The sequence below is a fragment of the Homo sapiens genome, chromosome 20 (genome assembly GCF_000001405.40).
Source record: "Homo sapiens chromosome 20, GRCh38.p14 Primary Assembly".
NCBI classification, from domain to species: Eukaryota; Metazoa; Chordata; class Mammalia; order Primates; family Hominidae; genus Homo; species Homo sapiens.
Window position 1 is genome coordinate 25,857,506 of NC_000020.11, and position 25,437 is coordinate 25,882,942.

General features: G+C 49.6%; 4 annotated features.

The window, feature by feature from the left end:
• Positions 4,308-4,357: an enhancer, noted in NCBI's record as "active region_17676". NCBI's record gives its function as "activates an Ori minimal core promoter by ATAC-STARR-seq in GM12878 lymphoblastoid cells {active_cell/tissue: GM12878}" and the evidence as "EXISTENCE:reporter gene assay evidence [ECO:0000049][PMID:35858748]".
• Positions 4,468-4,517: an enhancer, noted in NCBI's record as "active region_17677". NCBI's record gives its function as "activates an Ori minimal core promoter by ATAC-STARR-seq in GM12878 lymphoblastoid cells {active_cell/tissue: GM12878}" and the evidence as "EXISTENCE:reporter gene assay evidence [ECO:0000049][PMID:35858748]".
• Positions 5,514-5,583: an enhancer, noted in NCBI's record as "active region_17678". NCBI's record gives its function as "activates an Ori minimal core promoter by ATAC-STARR-seq in GM12878 lymphoblastoid cells {active_cell/tissue: GM12878}" and the evidence as "EXISTENCE:reporter gene assay evidence [ECO:0000049][PMID:35858748]".
• Positions 5,694-5,743: an enhancer, noted in NCBI's record as "active region_17679". NCBI's record gives its function as "activates an Ori minimal core promoter by ATAC-STARR-seq in GM12878 lymphoblastoid cells {active_cell/tissue: GM12878}" and the evidence as "EXISTENCE:reporter gene assay evidence [ECO:0000049][PMID:35858748]".

A 25,437-nucleotide genomic window follows, 5' to 3' on the forward strand; every position in this document is an offset into this window, starting at 1 on the left:
CTCCTGTGGGGCTCTTGTCCTCGGCTGCAGTGTGATCATTTTGATCTTAGGAGAGAGGCCGCTCAGGATGGGGATGAGATTTCAATTGCTCCCGGACCCATGCATCTCTTCACGTAGGCCAGGACTTCACACACCCAAAGCGGATCCGGGGCGGCGAAAACGATTGACAACCGGCCTCATGACAAAGGCAGAGACGCAGAAAGAGGGTCACCAAAGACAGGCCGCCATGCGAGAAACCGCTTTGTGGCGCACAGGGCACATTCTGCCAAAGACACACACGCACACGGGCACACACACACAACCCACTGAGAGAGGGAAAGAAACACACAGAGACTGAGAGACAGAGAGAGAAGAGAGAATGGGAGAAACACACACAGACACACACACACACACACACACACACACACACACACACACACACAATGTCATTCAGGAGAGGCATTGAAACGCACACACCCAGGCAAACCCTGAGTCTGCGGGGATCGGCTCTCGACGAGAACGACCCTCCTGTGAGAGAGCACCCCAGGGGCAGGCAGGCCGACCTGTCGTCGAGATCACGGACGGCGGCACGACTTTTGGGGAGACTCACCCCAACCCACACCGTCATGGCAGGCCTGAAGCTGGGATGCCGTGCTGCTATCCCCGGACTCCCCCTGGGGTTTCCTCATCCTGGTCGGCCCTTTGAGACTCCTGGCATCCGGAGACGTTCCCGTCGACCCGGTGGAGAGGTCAGGCCAGAGCCTCAGAGCCCCGACACACAAGCACTGCCACGGAGGGCTCCTGCTTTGCCAAGCCTCAGGGAGTGGTTTCTAAGAAAACCGTGGGAACCACTGTGAGGGCAAAAGAAGCTCGCGCCTCGCGCATGCGCATTGTCAGGGCCAACTCGCGCTACGCTCCTCACAGGCAGGCTGCGTCCCCTTTAAATAACGCCGCCGCTGCGCTGGGGCAGCGAGGCTCCTGCTGCATCCGCCGCGGTGGCTGGATCCGGGGTCCAGTTGGGGCGGCGTGAGAGAGAGGGCCGCGGGTGTCTTGTCGTGTCCCAGGGCCAAACCCCGAGGAATCCTGTCCTCAGGACCACCTTGAGCTGACTTCCACCGAGGGAGGGGGACATCAGGACGCCTGCTGTGTTCTCAGGACTCCCCTTCAGATCCGATTTTGGCCCACTCCGAGTGAGATAGGATGGGCTCACCACATCTGGTGAGGCAGGCAGCGCCTCGCTGCAGCACAGAATGATCCCATAAGTCTCAAGACCTAGTGTCAGCTGCAAATTCATTGATCCCTCAGGCCTCTGCCTCCCTCCTCCTTTGAAAGAGCAGGGGCCTGACCCGCTTCTAAAAGACCTGGGGCTACGGAAAGCAGACCGCCCTTTACAGGACACCTGAAAACAGGAACAAGGGCGAATCTGAGGTGGAGACAATGCGACCAAGCGTGGCACTGGCGTATCCCACAGCAGATGGTGAGAATGTGTGTCACCGGAGACATACGGGGCGACGGCGAAACAAATGGTGGTGTCCAGGCATGTGCCGGTGGAAGGGGGGAATGAGTGACCCCTGCATCAATGCCAAGGAAAATCGAAGAACATCTGGGACCCGGGGATGGGGGCGCCAGTACCTGACCCAAGCCACGTTTTCAAATGCCTACCAGAGTAGCAAAGAGGTTTCTGCAAAATTCTCCCCACCCCCAACCCTCCACCGCCCTGGTAGCCCTGAGGCAAATTCGGCTGCACCCAGCCCAGCCACAGCCACAGTCCCAGCTCCAGCCCAGTCCCTTTGGGTCCCTGACATTCGTTTGGGACAGAAGATCAAGGGAGTCTTTCCACCCAGGAGCAGAGGAGAGGATGTCCCTCAAGAAGGAGACAGGCGGCCATGCGAGAAACCGCTTTGTGGAGCACAGGGCACATTCGGCCAAAGACACACACGCACACGGGCACTCACACACAAACCGACAGAGAGGAAAGAAACACACAGAGACTGAGAGACAGAGAGAGAAGAGAGAATGGGAGACACACACACACTCACAGAAACACAAACACACAAACACACACACACACACACACACACACACACACACAGAGGCCCTGAGCAGAGGCATTGAAACACACACCCCAAGGCAACCCTTGAGGCTTCGGGGTTCTGCTCTTGATGAGATCGACCCTCAGGTGAGGGAACACCCCAGGGGTACTCAGGCCGACCTGTCCTCGAGATCACGGCGGCATGACTTTTGGCGAGACTCACCCCAACCAACACCGTCCGGGCAGCCCTGAGGCTGGGATGCCGTGCTGCCTCCCCTGGACTCCGCCTGGGAATTCCTCATTCTGGTCGGCCCTTTGCGTCTCCTGGCATCCAGAGACGTTCCCGTCGACCCTGTGGAGAGGTCAGGCCGGAGCCTCAGAGCCCCGACACACAAGCACTGCCACGGAGGGCTCCTGCTTTGCCAAGCCTCAGGGACTGGTTTCTAAGACAACCGTGGGAACCACTGTGACAGGAGAAGTCGCTCGCGCCGCGCGCATGCGCATTGGCTGGCCTGACTAGCGCTCCGCTTCTGGCAGTCAGGCTGCATCCCCTTTAAATAACGCTACTGCAGCGCAGGGCAGCGAGGTTCCCGCTGCAGCCGCGGCCTGGATCCGGGCTCCAGTTTGTGGCGGCGTGGGAGACGGGACCGTGGGTGTCTTGTCCTGTCCCAGGACCAAACCCCCAGGAATCCTGTCCTCAGGAACTCCTTGAGCTGACTTCCACGGAGGGAGGGAGAGGGAGCTTCAGGACGCCTGCTGTGTTCTCAGGACACCCCTTCAGATCCGATTTAGGCCCCCACCGAGTGACATAGGATGGGCTCGCCACATCTGCTGGGGCAGGCAGGGCCTCCATGCAGCAAAGAATGATCCCACAGGTCTCGAGGCAAAGTGTCGGCTGCAAATTCACTGATCATTCAACCCTCTGCCTCCCTCCTCCTTTGAAAGAGCAGTGGCATACCCCGCTTCTAAAAGCCCTGGGGCTCAGGAAAGCCGACCGCGCTTTACAGGACTCGTGCAAACAGGAACAGGGGCGAATGCGAGGTGGAGACCACGGGAACATGCGAGGCACTGGCGTATCCCACAGCAGATGGTGTGAACGTGTATCACCGGAGGCATACGGGGCGACGGCGAAAGAAACGGTGGTGTCCAGGCATGTGCCGGTGCAAAGGGGGAATGAGTGACCTATCCATCAATGCAAAGGAAAATCGAAGAACACCTGGGACCCGGCGGGTGGGGGCGCCTGTTCCTGACCCAAGCCACATTTTCAAATGCCTACCAGAGGAGCAAAGAGGTTTCTGCAAAATTCTCCCAACCCTCCACCGGGCTGGTAGCCCTGAGGCAACTTCAGCTGCATCCAGCCCCAGCCACAGCCACAGCCCCAGCCCCAGCCAAGTCCCTCTGGGTCCCTGACATTCATTTGGGACAGAAGATCAAGGGAGTCTTTCCACCCAGGAGCAGAGGAGAGGATGTCCCTCAAGAAGTAGACAGGCCGCCAAGCGAGAAACCGCTTTGTGGCACACAGGGCACATTGGGCCAAAGACACACACGCACATGGGCACTCACACACAAACCGACAGAGGGAAAGAAACACACAGAGACTGAGAGACAGAGAGAGAAGGGAGAATGGGAGACACACACACACACTCACAGACGGACACACAAACACTCACACACACACACACACACACACACACACACACACACACACACACACACACACACAGAGTCCTTGAGCAGAGGCATTGAAACACACACCCTAAGGCAACCCCTGAGGCTTCGGGGTTCTGCTCTTGGCGAGATCGACCCTCGGGTGAGGGAGCACCGCAGGGGTACTCAGGCCGACCAGTCCTCGAGGTCACGGCGGCACGACTTTTGGCGAGACTCACCCCAACCAACACCGTCCGGGCAGCCCTGAGGCTGGGATGCCGTGCTGCCTCCCCCGGACTCCGCCTGGGATTTCCTCATTCTTGTCAGCCCTTTGCGAGTCCTGGCATCCGGAGACGTTCCCGTCGACCCCGAGGAGAGGTCAGGCCGGAGCCTCAGAGCTCCGACACACAAGCACTGCCACGAAGGGCTCCTGCTTTGCCAAGCCTCGGGGACTGGTTTCTAAGACAACCGTGGGAACCACTGTGACGGGAGAAGAGGCTCGCGCCTCGCGCATGCGCATTGGCCCGCCCGACTGGCGCTCCGCTCCTGGCGGTCAGGCTGCGTCCCCTTTAAATAACGCCACCGCAGCGCGGCGGCAGCGAGCCTCCTGCTGCAGCCGCGGCGGCGGCTGGATCCGGGCTCCAGTTTGTGGCGGCTTGGGAGACCGGACCGTGGGTGTCTTGTCCTGTCCCAGGGCCAAACCCCCAGGAGTCCTGTCCTCAGGAACTCCTTGAGCTGACTTCCACCGAGGGAGGGAGGGGGAGCTTCAGGACGCCTGCTGTGTTCTCAGGACACCCCTTCAGATCCCATTTCGGCCCCCACTGAGTGAGATAGGATGGGCTCGCCACATGCGCTGAGGCAGGCAGGGCCTCGCTGCAGCCAAGAATGATCCCATAGGTCTCGAGGCCAAGTGTCCGCTGCAAATTCACTGATCCTTCAACCCTCTGCCTCCCTCCTCCTTTGAAAGAGCAGTGGCCTACCCCTCTTCTAAAAGCCCTGGGGCTCAGGAAAGCCGACCGCGCTTTACAGGACTCGTGCAAACAAGAACAGGGGAGATTGCGAGGTGGAGACCATGTGAACACGAATGGCACTGGCGTATCCCACAGCAGATGGTGTGAACGTGTGTCACCGGAGGCAAACCGGGCGACAGCGAAAGAAACGGTGGTGTCCAGGCATGTGCCGGTGCAAGGGGGGAACGAGTGACCTATCCATCAATGCAAAGGAAAATCGAAGACCACCTGGGACCCGGCGGGTGGGGGCGCCTGTGCCTGACCCAAGCCACGTTTTCAAATGCCTACCAGAGGAGCAAAGAGGTTTCTGCAAAATTCTCCCCACCCCCAACCCTCCACCGCGCTGGTAGCCCTGAGGCAAATTCGGCTGCACCCAGCCCCAGCCACAGCCACAGCCCCAGCCCCAGCCAAGTCCCTTTGGGTCCCTGACATTCGTTTGAGACGGAAGATCAAGGGAGTCTTTCCACCCAGGAGCAGAGGAGAGGATGTCCCTCAAGAAGGAGACAGGCCGCCAAGCGAGAAACCGCTTTGTGGTGCACAGGGCACATTCGGCCAAAGACACACACGCACATGGGCACTCACACACAAACCGACAGAGGGGAAAGAAACACACAGAGACTGAGAGACAGAGAGAGAAGGGAGAATGGGAGACACACACACACTCACAGACGGACACACAAACACACACACACACACACACACACACACACACACACACACACAGAGTCCTTGAGCAGAGGCATTGAAACACACACCCCAAGGCAACCCCTGAGGCTTCGGGGTTCTGCTCTTGACGAGATCGACACTCGGGTGAGGGAGCACCGCAGGGGTACTCAGGCCGACCTGTCCTGGAGGTCACCGCGGCACGACTTTTGGCGAGACTCACCCCAACCAACACCGTCCGGGCAGCCCTGAGGCTGGGATGCCGTGCTGCCTCCCCCGGACTCCGCCTGGGATTTCCTCATTCTGGTCGGCCCTTTGCGAGTCCTGGCATCCGGAGACCTTCCCGTCGACCCCGAGGAGAGGTCAGGCCGGAGCCTCAGAGCCCCGACACACAAGCACTGCCACGGAGCGCTCCTGCTTTGCCAAGCCTCGGGGACTGGTTTCTAAGACAACCGTGGGAACCACTGTGACGGGAGAAGGCGCTCGCGCCTCGCGCATGCGCATTGGCCCACCCGACTGGCGCTCCGCTCCTGGCGGTCAGGCTGCGTCCCCTTTAAATAACGCCACCGCAGCGCGGCGGCAGGGAGGCTCCTGCTGCAGCCGCGGCGGCGGCTGGATCCGGGCTCCAGTTTGGGTCGGCGTGGGAGAGGGGACCGCGGGTGTCTTCTTCTGTCCCACGGCCAAACCCCCAGGAGTCCTGTCCTCAGAAACTCCTTGAGCCGACTTCCACCGAGGGAGGGAGGGGGAGCTTCAGGACGCCTGCTGTGTTCTCAGGACTCCCCTTCAGATCTGATTTTGGCCCCCACCGAGTGAGATAGGATGGGCTCACCACATCTGGTGAGGCAGGCAGGGCCTCGCTGCAGCACACAATGATCCCATGGGTCTCAAGGCATGCTGTCAGCTGAAATTTCACTGATCCATCAGCCCTCTGCCTCCCTTCTCCTTTTAAAGAACACTGGCCTGCCGGGCTTCTAAAAGCCCTGGGGCTCTGGAAGCCAATCGCAATTTACAGGACACGTGCAAACAGGAACAGGGGCGAATCCCAGGTGGAGACCATGCGTTGACGTGTGGCACTGACCAATCCCACAGCAGATGGCTTGAATGTGTGTAACCAGAGGAATGTGGGGCGACGGCGAAACAAACGATGCTGTCTAGGCATGTGCCCGGTGGAAGGGAGGGTCAAGTGACATTTCCATCACAGCAATGAAAAATTAAAGAACACTTGGGAAACAGGAGGCGGCTTGTGACTGACCGGATCCAAAATTTGAAATTCCTGCCAGAGCAACAAATAGGTTTCTGCAAAATTCACCCCAAGGCCAAAGCTCCACCGCCCAGGTAGCCCTCACACAACCTCCCCTGCACCAAGCCCCAGCCCCAGCACCAGCAACAGCCCCAGCCCCAGCCCCAGACCCAGCCCAGTCACCTTGGTTCCCTGACTTTCGTTACGGGCAAAAGATCCAGGGAGACAGTCCACCCAGAAGCAGAGGAGAGGTGTCCCTCAACAATGAGACAGGAATTGCAGAGGAAATGGGACACTACCTGTTCTTGAAGACAAGGCCAGTCACGGTCGCCTAGCGCTCCTTCTAGGCAATCCACGCACCCATGAAGGGAAACATGGAGAACAAGCAAGCTTTCCTGTCTGAGACACTTATGGGAGCAAAGAGCTCCACGGTCACGAGATCTGCCCAATCAAGCAGAAACAGGTTTGGAGAGAGAAACAATCATAACAGGGATCTCCAGGAAATGTCTCCCTGACAGACTGGGAAGTCACGGACTGGGAAGTCCCTGATGGACAGGGAAGACATGTGGCCAGAGAGAGAGGCATCTAGGACAGGGGAGACAGAGCAAGAGGGAGGACAGAGCAGAAGGAGCAAGAGGGAGGACAGAGCAGAGGCAGGACAGAGCAAGAAGAAGGAGAGAGCAGAGGCCGGAGCCCAGGCAGGAAACAGCACGGTGCCACCGCCACAGGCATAAGGGGAGGGGATCCAAAAGCGTGGCTTGTCCAGAGAAACCAGCGATCCAGTGACAGGGATTGTTGCCATCTCCCATTCCCGGCTTCCTCTTGCAGACTGTATCGTGCTATGGCTTCATTTCTCAGAGAAGAGCCGTGAAAAGATACAAGCATCTTCTCTGACGTGGGTCCGCTGCTCTCCTGTGGGACAAAGAGCTCCTGTGGGGCTCTTGTCCTCAGCTGCAGTGTTTTCATCTTGATGCTAGAAAAGAGGCTGCTCAGGATGAGGATGAGATTTCAATTGCTCCAGGACCGACGCATCTCCTCACGTGGGCCAGGCCTTCACACACCCAAAGCGGATCCGCGGCCGCGAAAACGATTGACAACCGGCCTCATGACCCAGGCAAAGATGCAGAAAGAGGCTCACCAAAGACAGGCCGCCATGCGAGAAACCGCTTTGTGGCACACAGGGCACATTCGGCCAAAGACACACATGGACACGGGCACACACACACAAACCCACAGAGAGAGGGAAAGAAACTCACAGAGATTGAGAGACAGAGAGAGAAGAGAGAATGGGAGACACACACACAGACACACAGATACACACACACACACACACACACACACACACAGACACACACACAGAGTCATACAGCAGAGGCATGAAAACACACACCCCCAGGCAACCCCTGAGGCTGCGGGGTTCTGCTGTCGACCCTCTGGTGAGAGAGCACCCTAGGGGCACGCATTCCAACCTGTCTTCGAGATCTCTGACGGCGGCACGACTTTTGGGGAGACTCAACCCAACCAACACCATCCCGGCAGGCCTGAGGCTGGGATGCCGTGCTGCTTCCCCAGGACTCCGCCTGGGGTTTCCTCATCCTGGTCGGCCCTTTGCGACTCCTGGCATCCGGAAACCTTCCCGTCGACCCCGTGGAGAGGTCAGGCCGGAGCCTCAGAGCCCCGACACACAAGCACTGGCACAGAGGGCTCCTGCTTTGCCGAGCCTCAGAGACTGGTTTCTAAGACAACTGTGGGAAGCACTGTGACGGGAGAAGCCGCTCGCACCTCACGCATGCGCATTGGCTGGGCCGACTCGCTCTCCGCTCCTGGCAGGCAGGCTGCGTCCTCTTTAAATAATGCCACCGCTGCGCAGCGGCTGGATCCGGGCTCCAGTTTGGGGCGGCGTGGGAGAGGCGACCGCGGGTGTCTTGTCCTGTCCCAGGGCCAAACCCCCAGGTGTCCTGTCCCCAGGACCTCCTTGAGCTGACTTCCACCTTGGGAGGAAGGGGGAGCTTCAGGACGCCTGCTGTGTTCTCAGGACTCCCCTTCAGATCCCATTTTGGCCCACTCCGAGTGAGATAGGATGGGCTCGCCACATCTGGTGAGGCAGGCAGGGCCTCGCTGCAGCACAGAATGATCCCATAGGTCTCAAGGCCTAGTGTCAGCTGCAAATTCACTGATCCATCAGCCCTCTGCCTCCCTCCTCCTTTGAAAGAGCAGTGGCCTGCCCAGCTTCTAAAAGCCCTGGTGCTCCGGAAAGCCCACCATGCTTTACAGGACACTTGCAGGCAGGAACCAGGGCAAATCCGATGTGGAGACCATGTGACCACGCGTGGCACTGGCGTATCCCACAGCAGATGGTGTGAATGTGTGTCACCGGAGGCATACGGAGCGATGGCGAAAGAAACGGTGGTGTCCAGGCATGTGCCGGTGGAAGGGTGGAACGAGTGAACTTTCCCACAATGCCAAGGAAAATCGAAGAACACCTGGGACCCGGGGGGTGGCAGGGGGCGTGTGCCTGACCCAAGCCATGTTTTCAAATGCCTAGCAGAGGAGCAAAGAGGTTTCTGCAAAATTCGCCCCACCTCTAACCCTCCACCACCCTGGTAGCCCTGACGGAACTTCGGCTACACTCAGCCCCAGCCCCAGCCCCAGCCCAGTCCCTTTGGTTCCCTGACATTCGTTTCGGACAGAAGGTCATGGGAGTCAGTCCACCCAGGAGCAGAGAAGAGGATGTCCCTCAAGAATGAGACAGGAAGCGCAGAGGAAATGCGACACCACCTGTCCTGGAAGACAAGGCCAGTCACGGTCGCCTAGCGCTCTTTCTAGGCAATCCACCCACCCATGAGGGGAAACGTGGAGAAGAAGGAAGCTTCCCTGCCTGAGACATGTATGGAAGTCAAGAGCTCCAGGGTCATGAGACCTGCCCAATCCAGCAGAAACACGTTTGGAGAGAGAAACAGTCATGACACGGATCTCCAGGTAGTGTCTCCCTGACGGACTGGGAAGTCATCTTTGCTGAAGACATTTGGCGAGAGCGAGAGGCATCCAGGCCCCTGAGAAACAGGGGAGGCAGAGCGAGAGGGAGGAGAGAGCAGAGGCCGGAGCCCAGGCAGCGTATAGCACCGTGCCACCTCCATGGGCATAAGGGGAGGGGTTCCAAAAGCGTGGCTTTTCCAGAGAGGCCAGCGTTCCAGTGACAGGGATTGTTGCCATCTCCCATTCCCGGCTTCCTCTTGCAGACCGTAGCGTGGTGTGGCTTCATTTCTCAGAGAAGAGCCGTGAAAAGATACAAGCATCTTCTCTGACGTGGGACCTCTGCTCTCCTGTCGGACAAAGAGCTCCTATGGGGCTCTTGTCCTCGGCTGCAGTGTGTTCATCTTGGTCCTAGGAGAGAGGCCGCTCAGGATGGGGATGAGATTTCAATTGCTCCGGGACCGACGCATCTCCTCACGTGGGCCAGGCCTTCACACACCCAAAGCGGATCCGCGGCCGTGAAAACGATTGACAACCGGCCTCATGAGCAAGACAGAGATGCAGAAAGAGGCTCACCAAAGACAGGCCGCCATGCAAGAAACCGCTTTGTGGCGCACAGGGCACATTCGGCCAAAGACACACACGCACTCGGTCACACACACACAAACCCACAGAGAGAGGGAAAGAAACACACAGAGACTGAGAGGTAGAGAGAGAAGACAGAATGGGAGACACACACAGAGTCATACAGCAGAGGCATTGAAACACACACCCCCACGCAACCCCTGAGGCTTCGGGGTTCTGCTCTGGATGAGAAGGACCCTCGGGTGAGAGAGCAGCCCAGGAGCACGCAGGCCGACCTGTCCTCGAGATCACGGCGGCACGACTTTTGGGGAGACTCACCCCAACCATCACCGTCCGGGCAGGCCTGAGGCTGGGATGCCGTGCTGCTTCCCCCGGACTCCGCCTGGGGTTTCCTCATCCTGGTCGGCCCTTTGGGACTCCTGGCATCCGGAGACGATCCCGTCGACCCCGTGAAGAGGTCAGGCCGGAGCCTCAGAGCCCCGACACCCAAGCACTGCCAAGGAGGGCTCCTGCTTTGCCAAGCCTCGGAGACTGGTTTCTAAGACAACCGTGGGAACCACTGTGATGGGAGAAGAAGCCCGCGCCTCGCGCATGCGCATTGGCTGGGCCTACTCGCGCTCAGCTCCTGGTAGTCAGGCTGCGTCCCCTTTAAATAATGCCACCGCTGCTCAGTGAAGGCAGGGCTCCTGCTGCAGCTGCGGCGGCGGCTGGATCCGTGGTCCAGTTTGGGGCGGCATGGGAGAGGGGGCCTTAACTATACTGTCCGAAGGCCAAACCCGCAGGAGTCCAGTCTTCAGCAAGTCCTTTACCCGACTTCCACTGAGGGAGGGGGAGCTTCAGAGCCACTGCTGGGTTCTCAGGCTCCTCTTCAGATCCGAGTTTGGACCCCTCCGGGTGAGAAAGGATGTGCTCAGCACATCTGGTGACGCAGGTAGGGCCTCGCTGCAGCACAGAATGATCCCATGGCCCTCAAGGAGTGATGTCAGCTGAAAGTTCACTTATTCGTGAGCCCTCTGCCTCCCTCCTCCGTTGAAAGAGCAGTGGCGTGCCCCGCTTCTAAAAGCCCTGGGGCTCCTGCAAGCGGACACCGCTTTCCAGGACAGGTGCAAACAGGGTCGGTGCGAATCCGAGGTGGAGACAATGCGATCACGCGTGGCACTGGCGTATCCCTCAGTAGATGGTGTGAATTTGTGTCACCGGAGGGATATGTTGCGATGGCGAAACCAACAATGGCTCCAGGCATGTGACCGGTGGAAAGGCGGAACAAGTGGCCTTTCCCTTAGTGCCAAGGAAAATCAAAGAACATCTGGGAACAAGGAGGAGTCCTGTGCCTCAGTGCAAGCCACATTTTGAAATGCCTACCAGAGGAGCAAAGAGATTTCTACAACATTCACTCCACCCCAAAGCCTCCACCGCCCAGGTAGCCCTGACGCAACCTCCCCTGCACCCAGCCCCAACCCCATCCAGGCCCAGTGCAGTTCCCTTGGTTTCCCGACATTCATTACAGCCAAAAGATTCAGGAAGTCAGTCTACCTATGTGCAGAGGAGAGGACGTCCCTCATTTGTGAGACAGGACGTGCAGAGGTAAGGGGACACCATCTGTCCTGGAAGACAAGGCCAGTCATGATCGCCTAGCGCTCATTCTAGGCAATCCACCCACCCACGAGGTGAAACAAGGAGACCAAGGAAGCTTCCCTGTCTGAGACAAGTATGGAAGCCAAGTGTTCCAGGCTCATCAGACCTGCCCAATCCAGCAGAAACAGGTTTGGAGAGAGAAAGAGTCATGACAAGGATCTCCAGGAAGTTTCTCCCTGATGGACTCGGAAGTGATCTTCGTAGAAGTTATTCAGCCAGACCAAGAGGCAACTGGGCCCCTCAGAAACAGGGGAGACAGGGCAAGAGGGAGGACAGAGCAGAGGCCAGAGCCCAGGCAGGTTACAGAACCTTGCCACCACCACGGGCATAAGGGGAGGGGTGCGAAACGCGTGACTTATCCAGAGAGGCCAGCCTTCCAGGGACAGTGATTGTCACCATCTCCAATTCCTGGCTTCCTCTTCAGAATTGTATCGTGGTGTGGCTTCATTGCTCAGAGAAGAGCCGTGCAAGGGTACAACCATCTTCTTGGAGGTGGGTCTGCTCCTCTCCTGCTGGACAATGAGCTACTGTGGCATTTTGTCCTGGGCTGGAGTGTGGTCCCCTTGATCCTAGAAAAGAAGCCGCTCAGGATGCGGATGAGACTTTGATTGCTCTGGGACCGACGCGTCTCCTCAAGTGATCAAGGCCTTCACAAACCCAAAGTGGAACCGCCGTGAAAACGATGGACAACCGGCCACAGGACCCAGGCAGAGATGCAGAAGGAGGCTCACCAAACACTGGCCAACATTCAAAAAATCGCATTTTGGCGAACAGAGCACAGTCGTCCAAAGACACACACGCACATGGGCATACACACAGAAAAACACACACACACAGAGACCGACAGAGAGAGGGAAAGAAACACACAGAGGGTGAGAGACAGAGAGAGAAGAGAGAATGGGAGACACACACACACACACACACACACACACACAGTCCTACAGCGGTGGCACAGAAACACACACTCCCAGGCAACCCCTGAGGCTAACTAATAGTGGAAAATGTGTATCTAAGAATACACTTGGAACAGAAATATGAAAAACCGAAAGTAAGAGATATTATGAAGGATCAAATACAAAATGACCCAGTGCTAAAGAGGCAACAAAGAAAATTGTAGAAGTAAATGACAACAGGCATTGTGCCTTAATGAGTTTGTCCTACTATATAAGAAAATACACTAGGCTGGGTAATTTCTGAAGAACAGAAATGTATTTCTCACATTTCCACAGGGCAGAAGTCCAAGATCAAGGTGCCAGCAGGATTGGTGTCTGGTGAGGGCCTGGTCTCTGCATCCAAGATGGTATCTTGTGCACTGTGTCTTCAGGAAGAGATGCAGTGTCCTCACATGGCAGAAGGCAGAAGGGCAAAACAGGGGAAGCCCACTCCATCCAGTCCTTGTGTAAGGACCTAAACTCTTTCGTGAAGACTCTCCCTTCATGACTGAATCACTACCTAAAAGCCCTTCTTCCTAATCCTATGGCATTGGTGATTAATTTTAGGGGGGCACATTCAGAACATAGCACCCTATATTCAATTTCTTAAAAATTATTTTGTTGTTTTGCTTTTGTGTTTTTCAAATGGCTTAAAGTGCACAAAATTGGATTAGTCATAATCCTTAGCTCATAGTATACCTTGGCTCCTATTTCATCCTTGTTTGTGCGTGGACGTCTGTGTAAATGTATTTGAACAATATGGTAATCACTTGTGAACTTACAACACAACCAAAGAACTAGGGTTCTGACCCTAATATCTGCTCTTCCTCTGTCCTTTTTCCTGATTTTCACCCTTCAGCCCGAGGGTAACTACTACCCTGAATTTATGTTTAGGATTCTCTTCCTTTAAAAAAAACTTGTTTTATGGCATACATATGATTACCCTAAATGACATATTATTTAGTTTTTAAGGATATAATTTATTTACCCATTCTCCTATTAATTTACCCATTCTCCTATTAATGAACATTTGGCTTATTTCCAGATTTTTGCTATTATGAATGGCATTACATGAGCATTTTTTTTTTTTTTACTACTTCTGGTACATATGGGCAAGAGTTTCTCCAGGGCCTGTTGTAGAGGTATTACTTTTCCATAACATATGAGAATGCTCAAACTTATAAGATAATCCAAATTGCTTTCCAAAGCAGTTGTTCTAATTTAAACTCTCGCCTCCTGTATTAGTTCGAGATGATCTTGTTGATCCACAGTCTCTCCATAATTGGTGATATGGTTTGGCTGTGTCCACACCCAAATCCCAGCTTGAATTCTATCTCCCAGAATTCCCACGTTATGGGAGGGACCCAGGGTGAGGTAATTGAATCACAGAGACCAGTCTTCCCTGTGCTATTCTCATGATAGTGAATAAGTCTCATGAGATCTGATGGGTTTATCAGGAGTTTCTGCTTTGGCTTCCTCCTCATTTTCTCTTGCTGCTGCCATGTAAGAAGGCCTTTTACCTCCTGCCATGACTCTGAGGTGTCCCCCACCATGTGGCACTGTAAATCCAATTACAATTCTTTCTCTTTACATCTCTTTTTCTTCTCAGACTTGGGTATGTCTTTTTCAGCAGTGTGAAAACAGACTAATACAGTAAATTGATACCCGTGGTGTGGGGTGCTCCTGAAAAGATACCCAAAAATGTGCAAGTGACTTTGAAACTTGGTAACAGGCAGAGGGTGGAACAGTTTGGAGGGCTCAGAAGAACACTGGAAAATGTGGGAAAATTTGGAACCTCCTAGAGGCTTGCTGAATGACTTTGACAAAAATGCTGATAGTGTTTTGAACAATAAGGTCCAGGCTGAGGTGGTCTCAGATGGAGATGAGGAACTTGTTGTGAACTGGAGCAAAGGTAACTCTCGTTACGTTTTAGCAAAGAGAATGGCAGCATTTTGCCTCTGTCCTAGAGATTTGTGGAACTTTGAACTTGAGAGAGATGATTTAGGTTATCTGCTGGAAGAAATTTCAAAGCAGTAAAGCATTCAAGAGGTGACTTGGGTGATGTTAAAGGCCTTTGGTTTTATAAAGGAAGCAGAGCATACCGTTTTGGAAAATTTGCAGCCTGACAATGTGATAGAGAAGAAAATCCCATTTTCTGAGGATAAATTCAAGGTGTTTGCAGAAATTTGCATAAGTAACAAGAAGCTGAATGTTAATCCCAAAAACAATGGGGAAAATGTCTACAGGACATGTCATAGGTCATCACAGCAGCCCCTCCCATCACAAACCCAGGGCCTAGGAGGATAAAATGGATTTCTGGGCTGGGCCAGGTTCACTGTGCTGTGTGTAGCCTAGGGCCTTGTTTCTCTGCATTTCAGCCCCTCCAGCCATGGCTGAAAGGGGACAACATAGAACTCAGGCCATGGCCTTGAGAGTGCAAGCCTTGGCAGCTTCCACATTGTTTTCAGCCTGCACATGCATAGAAGTCAAGAATTGAGGTTTGGAAACCTCCACCTACATTTCAGAGGATGATTGAAAACACCTGGATATCCAAGCAGAAGTTTGCTGCAGGGGTGGTGCTCTGATGGAGAACCTCTGCTAGGGCTGTGCAGTAGGGAAATGTGGGGTCGGAGTCCCTACACAGAGTCCCTACTGGGGCACTTCCTAGTGGAGCTGTGAGGAGAGGGCCACTCTCCTCCAGACCCCAGAATGGTAGATTCACTGACAGCTTGCACCATGAGCCTGGAAAAGCTGCGGGCACTCAACATCAGCCCATGTAAACAGCCACGAGGTGGGCTATACCCTGCAAAGCCACAGGGGCAGAACTACCCAAGGCTGTGGGAGCCGACCTCTTGCATCAGCATGACCTTGATGTGAAACATGGAGTCAAAGGAGATCATTTTGGAGCTTTAAAATTTGACTATCTTGCTGGATTTTGGACTTGCATGGGTCCTGTAACCCCTTTCTTTTGGCCAATTGCTCCCATTTGGAACAGCTGTGTTTACTCAATTATCTGTACCTCCATTGTATCTAGGAAGTAACTAGCTTGACCTGGATTTTACAGGGTCATAGGCAGAAGAGACTTGCCTTGTCTCAGATGAGACTTTGGACAGCGGATATTTGGGTTAATGCTGAAATGAGTTAAGATTTTGGGGGACTGTTGGGAAGGCATGATCATATTTGAAGTGTAAGGACATGAGATTTGGAGGGGCCAGGAGCAGAATGATGTGGTTTGTCTATGTCCCTACCCACATCTCAACTTGAATTGTATTGCTCAGGATTCCCATGTGTTCAGGGAGGGAACCAGGGGGAGGTAGTTGAATCTTTGGGGTTGGTCTTTCCCATGCTATTCTTGTGATAGTGAATAAATCTCACAAGATCTGATGGGTTAGTGGTTTTGTCTTTGGCTTCTTTTGCCTCCTTCTCATATTCTCTTGCCACTGCCATGTAAGAAGTGCTGTTCATCCACCGCCATAACTCTGAGGACTCCTCAGCCATGTGGAATCTTAATCCAATTAAGCCACTTTTTCTTCCCTGTCTCGGGTATGTCTTTATCAGCAGTGTGAATATAGACTAATACACTTCGTATTGTCAAACTTCTTAATATTTGTGGAGAGAATAGATGTGTAGTATCTTGTGCATTTCCCTGATTAGTAATGAGGTTGAGAAAATTTTTATGTTTTGCAGGCTTTCCCTTTTGTGAAATCCCTATTAATGTCTTTTCCCAATTTTCTGTTGGGTTGCTATTTTTAAAATTAATTCATAGGAGCTCCTTATACTTATTTGATATGATATTAATCTTTCGTAGGTTTTAGGTACTGCAAATATCTTCTCTAATTTATAGTTTATCTTTTGACTTTTTACTTTTATTTTTTAATTTCTTTTTTTTTTTGTTTTTGAGACAGAGTCTGGCTCTGTCATTCAGGCTGGAGTGCAGAGTCTGGCTCTGTCATTCAGGCTGGAGTGCAGTGGCTCACTGCAACCTCCACCTCCCGGGTTCAGACCATTCTCGTGCCTCAGCTTCCCAAGTAGCTGGGATTACAGGTGTCTGCCACTAATGCCTGGCTAATTTCTTGTATTTAATAGAGATGGGGTTTCACCATGTTGGCCAGCCTGGTCTCAAACTCCTGACCTCAGGTGATGTACTGTCGGGATTACAGGATTGAGACACCGTGCACAGCCTATCTTTCCACTTTTTGATGTAAAAAGTTCTTAATTTTGTGTTAGTCAAAATGTCTAATCTTTTTTAATGGTTAAATGGCTTTTTGTGTCTCATTCACTTACATTTTCTACTAAAAGTTTTAAAGTTTTGTTTCTGACATGTAAGTCTTTGTCCATCTGGAATTTAATGTTTGTATATAGAGTGAGGCAGGAATATAATTTCATTTTGTTTCTTATATCAATAACCATTATTTTTCTATTCTATTTATTGAAAAGTCCTTTCTTTGCTTGCTGATCTGCCATGTCACCTACATCACATATCAAAGATTAAATTTGTGGAGATTTGCTTGGGAGCTCTCTATTCTGTTTCATTAGTCAGTTTATCAGTGAGGACCACACTGTCTTAATTGCTGTAGCTTTATAAAAGTTCTGATATTTGCCAGCACAAATCTTTCCTCTTCCTCAATGTCTTTGATATTCTTGGCCCTTCCCTTTTCCATATATATACATTTTTTCCATATATATATATATTTATATATATATATTTATATATATATTTATATATATTTATATATATATTTATATATATATTTATATATATATTTATATATATATTTATATATATATATTTATAGATATATTTATATATATATTAATATATATATTTATATATATATTTATATATATATTTATATATATTTATATATATTTATATATATATATTTATATATATATTTATATATATATAATTAGAGAGAGAGAGAGAGGTATCATTTTGTTGCCCAGGCTTGAGGACAGTGGTGTAATCACAGCTCACTTCAGACTTGAACTCCTGGACTCAGGAGCTCCTCCTACCTCAGCCTCCCAAGTAACTGGGACTCTAAGGCATGCACCACCACATCCAGCTAATTTTTAAAAAAAATATATTTTGCAATGATGGGGATCTTGCTATGCTGCCCAGGCTGGTCTCAAACTTTTGAACTCAAGCAATCCTCCCACCTCAGGCTCCCAAAATGCTGGGATCACAAGAGTGAGCCACCACACCTGACTTCATTTTCCATATTTTAAGACCATTTTTAAAAAGTTGCTCAAGACTGCTTTTTTCTCTTGGTGTTACTTGCAACCCCCTTACTTAGCCTTGGAAATACTGTTAGTGAAGGAAATCTAAAGAGTCAAAAAGTAAAATATTCTTTCTTTTCTTCAAATTGCAAAAGAGCAGAAACCCTCCTGAATCATAAAGCTAGTTTTGATAAATTGGTGAACTGAGAGCATACGCAGTATTATTAATTCTGTTCTAATTTCTGCTTCACTGTGGAGTGTCTTCACAGAGTCTTAAAAGATTATTGCTATGAAATATTCTTATACATGTAACACATAACCTCTACAATTCTGCAGTTGTACTTGGCTGTCTTACCTAATACTCAGTTGCTTTGCTTCATAATATTTAAATTGGCACCTCTAATTTCCAAAAGACATAAATACTAGTATAGATTTTTAGTTAAGCCAGAAGAAAGTAGACTTTATTTACTAACATAACTTATATGTAAAGTTTTAATAAATCTCCCTGCTCCTTTTCTTTTGCATCATAACAACCACTGAAAATAATATTTCTATAGCAGTTGGGGGTAAATGAGCAATGACTTTTGTGGCCAGAGGTGAATGGCCCAGGGGCTCCTGCACTCCAGGTCCCACTGAGCCTGCCACACAGCTGAGGGCATCAGCATTTCCACACACCTACAGTGCACACTGTCCCAGAACACAGATCCGATGCTCTCCTTTATTCACATGGGGAGTTGAGAGTATTGTCATTGTAAGTAAATTAATAAATACATATTTATACACTGTTAAAATCTGATTGGATTTGTGTCCCTTCACAAAACAAATTGCTTAAATGAAACCACAGATTTAACATAAATGAGTACGTTTGCTTCTATGATATGCTCTTTTAAATGGAATTGGAATCTAATTTGAAATGTGAATTAAAAGTTTAAATATTCAACTCAATTACATTTAGATTTTTGTTTTGTTTTGTTTTGAGACGGAGTTTAGCTCTTGTCACCCAGGCTGGAATGCAATGGCACAATCTCAGCTCACTGCAACCACCTTCTCCCGGGTTCAAGAAATTCTGTTGCCTCAACCTCCTGAGTAGCTGGGATTACAGGTGCCTGCCACCATGCCCGGCTAATTTTTGTATTTTCAGTAGAGATGGGGTTTCACCATGTTGGCCAGGCTAGTCTTGAACTCCTGACCTCACGTGATCCACCCACCTCGGCCTCCCAAAGTGCTGGGATTACAGGTGTGAGCCACAGCCCTCGGCCTTTTTAGATTATTTTACTTTATTTTACTTATTTTTATGACTTTATTGCAATAAAAATGCTAGCTTTTTAAGAAAATCAATCAATATAACAAAGAACATAGAAGATGAACAACAAGCATTCCCACCTCCATGATCTGGAAATAACTGTCATCAATCCAAAAACTGACACATGGTGGATCCCTTCACACCAGTTCCCAGTACAAAGTAACTCCTTGCTTGTAGAAAACATTATTATTATCATTAGTATTTTCAAGACAGAATTTGAGTCTTGTAGCCCAGGCTGGAGTGCAATGGTTCAATCTCAGCTCACTGCAACCTCTGCCTCCCAGGATCAAAGTATTCTCCTGCCTCAGTCTCCCAAGCAGCTGGAATTACAGGCATGCACCACGATGGCTTGCTAATTTTTTGTATTTTTAGTAGAGACAGGGTTTCACCATGTTGGCCAGGTTGGTCTCGAACTCCTGACCTCAGGTGATCCACTTGCCTCAACCTTCTAAAGTGTTGGGATTACAGGCATGAACCACCACACCTGGACTGGAAAACATTATTCAATGGCAAACAGTAGCAGTGTGCTTGGGGATTTTAGAATTGATTATTTTCATATGTCTAGAAAAGTTCAATGCATTACCTCAGGCTATAATCCCAGGGCAGAGTCTCATCTGTTAATAGGGGGCTGGTCTAAGGGTCCTTCCAGCTCTCAGATTAATGGTTTCCCATGATGAACTGCTCCCTGCCACCCATCCATCCTTGGTTTTGTTTATTCATTTGTTTGTTTTTACAGGACAAGGTCTCACTATATTGCCCAGGCTGGTCTTGAACTCCAGGCCTTAAGCGATCCTCCTTCCTTGGCCTCCCAAAGTGTTAGAGTTACAGATGTGAGCCTTTGTGCTCAGCCCATCCTTGGCTGTTCAAGTGTGGAGGTAAATTGTAGGTGCCAAGTTTACCTCCAGGTCAGAAGGGGCAGAAGCTCCAGGAAAGAATCATAACCCTAACCAGGCCTCCCACTGCATGAAGACCTTATTTTCTGAAGCTTAAACCTGGACAAGGGTCTGACCAGTAGCACTGTGTTCATGAATATCAGGTCAAAAATTTAAAACTGGGAGTATCCAGAAGAACATGGTAGATGCAGGTGCAGTCTGCAGTCCAATGGTCAGCCACAAAAACAGGCTACCTGTTCCTTCTCTTTATCATGGAGTCCTTGATATAAAAATCGATGACACTCTCTTGCTTCTGGTGTGCTTCCCTTTCTTCTTCATTTTCCGTAAGTAGTTTTCTCCATCCCACCTCCCAACAGGCCACAGTCAATTCAGGACATTTTAACCATGAAAATCAGTCTACATAACATGAATTTAGAGGCCAGGCAGGGTGGCCCATGTCTGTAATCCCAGCACTCTGGGAGGTTGAAGTGGGAGAATGGATTGAGCTTAGGAGTTTGAGACCAGCCTGGGCAACATGGTGAAACCCTGTCTCTAACCAAAAATAAATGAATAAAAAAAAATAAGCCATGTATGGTGGTGCATGCTACTAGTCCAGCTACTCAGGAGGCTGAGGTGGGAGGATTGCTTGAGTCAAGGAGGTCAAGTCTGAAGTGGGCCAAGATCATGCCACTGCAATCCAGCCTGGGCAACAGAGTGAGACCTTATCTCAAGAGAAAAAAAAGATTTATAGGACAGACTGACTCTCTTATTACAAGCCAATGCTCATTTGCCATTCCATAAATCCTAGGGCACCTTGTAAGAATTATGCCAAATCTACTCTACCCGTGCTCTATAAATGGATTCACTATTGTAGATGCCACTAAGAACATTCATGATTCACCAGAGGAGGTAAAAATAACAGCATTAATAGGAGTTTGGAAGAAGTTCATTCCAACCCTCATAAATGACTTTGAGGGGTTCAAGACTTTAGCAGAGGAAGTAACCACAGTTGTGGTGAAGATAGCAAGAGAAGTAGTATTACAAGTGGAGCCTGAAGATGTGAGTGAACTGCAGCAATATATATATATATTTTTTGAGATGGATTTTTGCTCTTGTTGCCCAGGCTGGAGTGCAATGGTGCGATCTCAGCTCACTGCAACCTCCGCCTCCTGGTTTCAAGCGATTCTCCTGCCTCAGCCTCTCGAGTAGCTGGTATTGTAGGCATGTGCCACAACACTTGGCTAATTTTGTATTTTTAGTAGAGACAGAGTTTCACCATGTTGGTCAGGCTGGTCTCGAACTCCCAACGTCAGATGATCTACTCACCTCAGCCTACAAAAGTGGTGGGATTACAGGCATGAGCCACCACACCTGGCCAAATTGCTGCAATCTTAATGGATGAAGAGTTGCTTATTATGAATGAGCAAAGAAAGTGGTTTCTTGGGATGGAATCTACTCCTGGTGAAGATGCCGTGAACATTGTGGAAAGGACAACAAAGGACTTAGAATATTCCATAAACTTAGTTGATAGAGGAGTGGCAGGTTTTGAGAGGATAGGTTCCAGTTTTGTTATAAATTCTACTGTGGGTAAAATGCTACCAAACTGTACAGCATGCTACCGTGAAATCTTTTGTGAAAGCAAGAGTCAGTCAATGCCGCAAACTGCATTGTCATGTTATTTTAAGATATTCCCACACCCTCTCCAGCCCTCAGCAACTATCACCCTGATCAGTCAGTAGCTATCAACACTGAGTCAAGACCATCCACCAGCAAAATGATGATGACTTGCTGAAGGCCCAGATGATGGTTAGCATTTTTTGGCAATCAAGTATTTTCAAAATAAGGTATATACATTATATTTCAGACATAATGCTATTGCACACTTCATTGACTACAGTAGTTTAAACATAACTTTTTTTTTGAGATGGAGTCTCACTCTGTTGCCCAGGTTGGAGTGCAGTGGTGTGATCTTGTCTCACTGCAAACTCTGCCTCCCAGGTTCAAACAATTCTCCTGCCTCAGCCTCTTGAGTAGTTAGGAATACAGGTGCTTACCACCATTTTTGTATTTTCACAGGGTTTTCCCATGTTGACCAGGCTGGTCTCGAACTTCTGACCTCTGGTGATCCACCCGCCTCAGCCTCCCAATGTGCTGTGATTACAGGCATGAGCCACCATGCCTGGCAACATAACTTTTATATGCACCAGAAAGCAAAGAATTTCTTGTGACTTGCAAAAAATTTCATGTGACTTGCTCTATTGTGATATTCACCTTATTGTGGTGACCTAGAACCAAACCTGCAATATCTCCAAGGTGTGCCTGTACCCCTGAAAGCAGAGCTGGAGAAAAGACTTGGGTGTGGATAGTTTATTTGGGAAGTGATTCCAAGAAGCAAGAGTGAGATGTGGGAAGAGTGAACCAGGCAAGAAAATAAAGCCAAAATAATGGCATGCTACTGAGGCTGCTCCCATGCACTTTTTTTCTGCAGGACTTTCCGAGAGGCTCTGGAAAGTTATCCAGGACTGTCCACCTGAAACATGAGCCTCGAGCATTTGCCCACCTGTCCCACACTGGTTGAGGTCTTCCCCTGAGGCTGTTAACCTGCAAGTGTTTCTGGGCTGTATTTGTGCTCAGGCAAAATCCTACAATAGTGGAGACGTCCCGGGGCGGAAAGTGTAGCTTGAGTTTGCTGGCAGCACAAAGGAAGCCTGTGCTTCAGTGGAACTCCCCACGGTGGCTGAGACTCAATGAAAGGTGTGCTGAGAAGACATGACGCAGTCGTCATTGCACGGAGGAATCGTAGCCATCGATCTTGGCAAGAGGACCACCGCCCTGAATCCTGCGCTTGAGAAGGTGCCTCTCTGTCTGGGCACTCAGGCCCCTGGCCAAATGTGCCTGACCCTGCATGGCCTCTTTCCTGGGTCCATTTCAAAGTGCAAACTGTGTTTGTCCAAATGGTGCCCAAGGCTCTGCTGTCTGAAGGGGTGAGAATTGTGTATGGAGCTTGCATGAGGCCTAGGGAGTTCCCCACACAGGGGTATGCAAGGCTTCTCAAGTAAGGAAAGGGATAGCTATGACGAAAGAAAAAAGTTTAGCCTGGGGTTGAGGATCAGCTCTCCCTTTACTACCACATTCCCATGCAGAGCACCAAGAAATCAGAGAATTCTACACTCGACTTTGACCTTGTGGGTTATTATGGCAGTATATTTATTGAAGTAGAAGAATAGAATGTATTTAGCTATTTTTTAGCTTCATTTATAATTCATCATTATTTAGACATAATGCAAATGTGGGCTGGAATTCATGTTCTGATTTTTGTGGCCTTGAGCTAAGGAAAAGGGACCCAGGAAATGGGCTTTATGTGTTGGATGGCTTCATGGAATCCCCAACTTCATTAGCTTCTATGATGACTCAAGATTGTTACTAAAATCCACTTTTAATTATCTTTAAAAACCAAGGGATATTATGTAGCTCAGCGGTTAGATGGCACTTGACTCAAAATATCTATGAAGCAAAGGATATAAATGACTAAGAGCAGGAGGATCATTACCTGAAGGGGTGGAGAGTTGATCTCAGGTTATGACCTGAGAGATCCTTCCTGCTGGCTCAGTGCTGACTGAACGTGGGGCAGGAGAGCCCCAGGAGCAACACGTATCTGGGATAGGAGGGAATGCTGGGAGGAAGGAAAGGGAAATAAGCCCTTTTTGTTTTTATTGATACATGACAATTATAATTATTTCTAGGGTACACGTGATATTCTGATACATGCATACAATGTGTAGTCATCAAATCAAGATAATTTGCATTTCCATCACCTCAAACATTTATCATTTATTTGTGTTAGGAAAATTCCACATCTTTCCTCTAGCCATTTTGAAATGTATAATAAGTTATTGTTAACGATCATCACCCTACTGTACTATTGAACACTAGAACTTCTTCTGTTCTTTCCATCTAACTGTATTTTTGTGCCCATTAACCAACTTCTGGGAAGGGTAAAAGAGTGGGTGGATGAAAAGGGCCCTTCTTAATGCAAAGAAAACCTTACAAGAAGGAAAGACATCTTAGGAGGAGAAATAAAAAGGTGGACCCTGGACTTAGAGTAGGGACTGCAGAAATTGAATGGCAAAGAAAAAACCAACTTAGCAATGTAAAAATAAATCTCAATGTCATTCCTTTCACAGGTCCAATGTCTGATATTCTTTTGGCAAGCTGGATATGAAGTAGGAATCTTTCTTTGAGTCATACATTTTCATGATTATGATTGTTATTGAATAATAGCTGACAATTGTTGAGAGCAATTATTGAGGACAATTGAGCTTTCACAAGCTCTTTTCAAAGGACTTTACATATATTTCTCCACTTCTAACTGTTAGATATTCTTATTATTCCCATTTTGTAGATGAGGGATGCACAGGCATAAAGCCTATGTGGAGGCAGAGAGCAGCTAAGTAACCTGACCATGGCCCAACAGCAAACAAATGATGGGGCCACATGCAAATCCAGGAGAACCCCTCTATTATATGAAGCTCAATGTTTTCTTGTTTGAATCTTGTTATGAATACACCTATTTGCAAAGGGGTTTTGAAGCTACATTAAAATATTCTGTGGTTGTGCGCGGTGGCTGATGCCTATAATCCCAGCATTTTGGGAGACCAAAGTGGGCAGATTGCCTGAGCTCAGGAGTTTGAGACCAGCCTGGCCAACATGGTGAAACCCTGTGTCTACTAAAAATACAAAAAAAAAAAAAAAAAATAGCTGGGCGTGTTATTGTGCACCTGTAATCCCAGCTACTCTGGAGGCTGAGGCAGGAGAATCGCTTGAACCCGGGAGAGGAAGGTTGCAGTAAGCCGAGATCGTGCCACCCCACTCCAACCTGGGTGACAGAGTGAGACTCTGTCTCTAAATAAATAAATAAATAAATAAGATTGAATTTCGAGCCCCTGACCATGTCCCCAGATTGTACTCATATGTATTTTGATGTCTTCTAAGATTTATTCTTAGTGCATTTTTTAAGTTAAAGTATTTACTGAGCATCTACTGTACATCACGTGCTGAGATAGGCATCAGCGGTGCAGGGAACATATGGCACAGTCTCTGCCCTCAAGTAACTTTCACTCACCACATATATTTATTAGGACACCGATACATGTGTGAATATAAGATATTAGGATAGACATTGCAACAAATAATTATTTACTGTAAACCTATTTCATAGGATTTTAATCTTAAAGTACTTTCAACCTATTTCCAAAAAATATGTATTGCATAACTTTAAAGGGATTCTTAGTTTGAAATCACCATATGAACTGCAGTAGCATCTGCTGGTGAAATACTGCTTTGTGT